This window comes from Homo sapiens, chromosome 6 (genome assembly GCF_000001405.40).
Source record: "Homo sapiens chromosome 6, GRCh38.p14 Primary Assembly".
NCBI classification, from domain to species: domain Eukaryota; kingdom Metazoa; phylum Chordata; class Mammalia; order Primates; family Hominidae; genus Homo; species Homo sapiens.
The window spans coordinates 25,179,944-25,185,290 of record NC_000006.12 but is presented as its reverse complement, the minus strand read 5'-3'; the positions used below and the strand labels follow the sequence as shown (position 1 = coordinate 25,185,290).

The 5,347-nt window shown below is 40.8% G+C and overlaps 1 pseudogene across 1 annotated transcript; it reads right to left on the bottom strand.

Annotated features, from left to right (window-relative positions):
• Positions 1-3,495: 3,495 nt before the first annotated feature.
• UBE2D3P5 (UBE2D3 pseudogene 5) lies at positions 3,496-4,266 on the bottom strand (annotated as a pseudogene). The gene is made up of 2 exons (XR_007059906.1): positions 4,089-4,266; positions 3,496-3,986 (listed from the first exon to the last, which is right to left on the bottom strand). The product of XR_007059906.1 is annotated as a UBE2D3 pseudogene 5 (transcript).
• Positions 4,267-5,347: the final 1,081 nt, after the last annotated feature.

Below are 5,347 nucleotides of genomic sequence, written 5' to 3'. Positions count from 1 at the left end.
GGGACTGACTGTTAGAAGGAAAACTAACAAACAGAAAGCAACAACATCAAGATCAACAAAAAGGACCCCCACACAGAAACCCAATCCAAAGGTCATCAGCCTCAAAGATCAAAGGTAGATAAATCCACGAAGATGAGGAAAAACCAGCACAAAAACAATGAAAATTCCCAAAACCAGAATGCCTCGTCTCCTCCAAATGATCGCAACTCCTCCAGAAAGGGCACAAAGCTGGATAGAGAATGAGTTTGATGAACTGACAGAAGTAGGCTTCAGAAGGTGGGTAATAACAAATGCCTCTGAGCTAAAGAAGCGTGTTCTAATCCAATGCAAGGAAGCTAAGAACCTTGACAAAAGGTTACAGGAACTGCTAACTAGAATAATCAGTTTAGAGAGGAACATAAATGACCTGATGGAGCTGAAAAGCACAGCATGAGAACTTCATGAACCATACACAAGTATCAATAGCTGAATTCATCAAGGGGGAGAAAGGATATCAGAGATTGAAGATCAAGTTAGTGAAATAAGGCATGAAGACAAGATTAGAGAAAAAACAAAAAGGAACAAACAAAGCCTCCAAAAAATAAGGGACTATGTGAAAAGACCAAACCTATGATTATTTGGAGTCCCTGAAAGTGATGGGGAGAATGGAACCAAGTTGGAAAACACTCTTCAGTATATTATCCAGGAGAACTTCCCCAACCTAGCAAGACAGGCCAACAATCAAATTCAGGAAATACGGAGAACACCACTAAGATACTACTTGAGAAAAGCAACCTCAAGACACACAATTGCAGATTCTCCAAGGTTGAAACGAAGGAAAAAATGTTAAGGGTAGCCAGAGAGAAAGGTCAAGTAACCTACAAAGGGAAGCCCATCAGACTAACAGCAAATCTCTCTGCAGAAACCCTACAAACCAGAAGAGGGTAGGGGCCAATATTCAACATTCTGAAAGAATTTTCAATCCAGAATTTCATATCCAGTCAAATTAAGCTTCATAAGTGAAGGAGAAATAAAATCCTTTCCAGACAAGCAAATGCTGAGGTATTTTGTCACCACCAGAAGAGCTCCTGAAGGAAGCACTAAATATGGAAAGGAAAAACCAGTACCAGCCACTGCAAAAACACACCAAAATGTAAAGACCAATGACACTATGAAGAAATTGCATCAACTAATGTGCAAAATAACCAGCTAGCATCATGATGACAGGATCAGATTTACCCATAACAATATTAACCTTAAATGTAAATGGGCTAAATGCCCTAATTAAAAGACACAGACTGGCAATTGGATAAGCAGTTAAGACCTATTGGTGTGCTGTATTCAGGAGACCCATCTCACATGCAAAGACACACATAGGCTCAAAATAAAGGGATGGAGGAATATTTACTAAGCAAATGGAAAGCAAAAAAAAGCAGGGGTTGCAATTCTAGTCTCTGATAAAACAGACTTTAAACCAACAAAGATCAAAAAGGACAACAAAGGGCATTACATAATGGTAAAGGGATCAATGCAACAAGAAGAGCTAACTATCCTAAATATATATGCACTCAATACAGGAGCACCTAGATTTATAAAACAAGTTCTTAGAGACCTACAAAGAGATGTAGACTCCCACACAATAAGAGTAGGAGACTTTAACACCCCACTGTCAACATTACATCAACGAGACAGAAAATTAACAAGGATATTCAGGACTTGAACTCAGTTCTGGACCAAGTGGACCTAATAGACATCTACAGAACTCTGTACCCCAAATCAACAGAATATTCATTCTTCTCAGCACCACATTGCACTGATTCTAAAATCAACCACATAATTGGAAGTAAAACACTCCTCAGCAAATGCAAAAGAATGGAAATCGTAAGTCTCTCAGACTCAAATTAGAACATAAGATTGAGAAACTCACTGAAAACCGCACAACTACATGGAAACTGAACAACTTGCTGTTGAATGACTACTGGGTACATAACGAAATGTAGGCAGAAATAAATGAAACCAATGAGAACAAAGACACAACATACCAGAATCTCTGGGACATAGCTAAAGCAGTGTTAAGGAAATTTATAGCACTAAATGCCCAAAAGAGAAAGGAGGAAAGATCTAAAATCAACACCCTAACATCACAAAAGAACTAGAGAAGCAAGAGCAAACAAATTCAAAAGCTAGCAGGAGACAAGAAATAACTAAGATCAGAACAGAACTGAGGGAGATAGAGACACAAAAAACCCTTGAAAAAAATCAATGAATCCAGGAGCTGGTTTTTTGAAAAGATTAACAAAATAGTTAGACCAATAGCTAGATTAATAAAGGAGAAAAGAGAGAAGAGTCAAATAGACACAATAAGAAATGATAAAGAGGATATCACCACTGATCCCACAGAAATACAAACTACTGTCAGAGTACTATAAACACCTCTACGCAAATAAACTAGACATCTAGAAGAAATGGATAAATTCCTCTACACATACACCCTCCCAAGACTAAACCAGGAAGAAGCCAAATCCCTGAATAGACCAGTAACAAGTTCTGAAATTGAGGCAGTAATTAATAGCCTATCAACCATAAAAGCTCATGACCAGATGGATTCACAGCCGAATTCTACCAGAGGTACAAAGAGGAGCAGGTACCATTCCTTCTGAAACTATTCCAAACAACAGAAAAACCCATCACATTTGATGTACTAATAGCTCCAATCCATATAAATGTTGTCCAGTTAAACTTAGACCTTAAAATACAGGATGTGGGTAGAGTTTAATCTGGTTGGTCATAATTTTTACCTAAGATGTAGCTCCTTTGCAATAAAATGAATACAGAAACAACTTCAGTTCACTTTGCTTTTCATAACTGTCTTGATTAGAGATGGAGTCTACTGAAAAACAATCTCCTACAGGTGAGTAGAGCTTTTCTCTCACATCTAAGCACACATCATACCCACCACACCTCACTGTTATCCAAATTTAAGTCAATGAGGAAAGCTTTTAGTCTCACACCTAGGCTATGCGTGTAGAACTGGCTTGTCACACACACACTTCTCTGCTAGGAGGCAATGTTGGTACAGAAGTACAGTATTTCTAGTCTGTTGTTCCAAGTATGTACAACATGCAGCATTGCTGTATCAGGTTGTATGTACAGGGCAGGGTGAGGTGTATACTCATAGAAGGCACTAAAATGGAAATCAAAAGAACTTGCTCCTTTTTTTTTTTTGAGACTGGGCCTTGCTCTGTCACCCAGGCCAGAGTGCAGTGGTACTATCATGACTCACTGCAGCCTTGAATTCCTGGGCTCAAGGTACCTCCCACTTCAGCATCCTGAGTAGCTGAGACCAAAGGCACATGCCATTATGCCTGGCTAATTTGTTAATTTTTTTGTAGAGACAGCGTCTCACTATGTTGTCCAGGCCAGTTTTGAACTCCTGGGCTCAAGCAATCCTCCTGCTTCAGCCTCCCAAAGTGTTAGGATTACAGGTGTCAGCCATTATGCCCAGCCTAAAAGGACTTTCTCTTTCAGAGTGCCCCTGTCTTTATTTGTAGAGGTTATTCAGTTTCTTTAATTACCTGGCATACTTTGAGTCCATCCCTGAGCTATTCTGCTATACTTTTCTCTATCCTTTCTGTAGATCTCAGCAACCTCATTCACTAGAAGATCATGTGGATTGGAATCATACAATGGGGAACAAATGGAAAAGAGTACTTTTGAAATAGTGCTGGAGACCACTGTGACCACAGAATGTCAAGACACGTGCTGCCATTACTGTTACTATTTGGAAAATACATTCTTGTAAATGCAACCTTAGGGGGTTTGAGGGGGAAGTCTGTTGGGAAATGAATTGCAAGAAAAATATTACACCCTGATTGGGACTGTCATTTTGCCTCTTATTGCAGCTTGCCAGTCGACATGCCATCTCCAACAGGACCGGCTGTACACTGTGCTGGGCGGGGGTGGGTCCCGTGCCAGGTCATTCAATTCCTTGTGAGTTCTCTTTGGAGCTTTGGTGGGAGGCAAGTGGTGCTCCCTCCAACCCCTGGGGCCAGGACGAGGACAGGGAAGGGGTGGGCGAGGGAGCCTGAGGCCGCCTCATGATCACCCACCAGCGGGAGAAAATGCGGCGTTGGGGTGAGCGGGTCTGGGGAGACAGGATGAGCGCTGGGGCTGCCTGCTGAGTGGCCGCCGTGTCACTCTGGATGGTCCCTTTATGCACTGCAGCAGCTTAACTAACTCCCTTTTCTCTGGTAATATTTGTTGCTTAAAAGAGGATGGCTTTATCATCTTTCTCTTAATTAATATGTTAATAGTTAATATGGCTATATCAGCTTTCTCTTGGTTAGAATCTTTCTATATCTTTCTCATATTGTAGATATAAGTATGTAAACAGGCATATTTCAGGCTCAGGCATATAGAATTGATCATAATATTAACCATACTATTGTGGGTCTGTTTTATGTGTATGTAATCTGTTGTTTTTGCTAGCTCTTACTCATTGTGCCTTGGCTGTTTAGTAATTTTGTACCATGAGCTGCTTCATGGTTTGTAATTCTACTTGCAGAAATTCTCTTTAGCTAGCTTAAAGATGGGGTCCTTCAAAGAGAATTTTCCCCTTCTTCTAGGTTTATGAGAACTGTTAGTCCAGGGGCACTCTAAATTAAATGTTCAGCAAGACTTTTCTCCAATTCTCTCAGGTAGTGTAAATTCAAGCTACAAACATGCATAAAGGCTAGATTTCTCTGGTTTTTAGTATTTAGAAGGCTGTTTTAATCTCCCTTCTGCTTAGCACTAAAATTTGAGCTCGTAGATTTTCTTTCCTCTAGAGCTGGAGGTGAGAAGGGAGAGGTGAGGGGTTGGAGACTAATATGGGTTTATTTCTAGTTCTTTCTAAAATAGATGGTTTAACTCATTATGATCCCAACCTTTTTTGTGGCAGATCTCCTGTTAGACACAGTTTAATTTTGCTGACCAGTAATGATTCAGTGATGGGAATCTCGCTCTCTTTTAACATACTCCACAACGTGGGCAGACCCCGGGCTGTGTCTCTGGTGCCTTTGAGGTCATAAAATACAAAGCTCAATCTCCTCTTCCTCGCTTCTTTCATTTGACAAATGGCCGGCTCCAGGCCTCTCACAACTTCTCTACAGTGGCTCGTCTTCACTTAGCCCGATTTGAGAATTCCTTACTTTCTTACTTTCATGGGCTCTTTTCAGTTTTGTTTTTTTTTGTTTTTTTTTTTTTTTTTTTTTTTTGAGACGGAGTCTCGCTCTGTCGCCCAGGCTGGAGTGCGGTGGCGCAATCTCGGCTCACTGCAGGCTCTGCCTCCCGGGTTCACGCCATTCTCCCGCCTCAGCCTCCCAAGTGG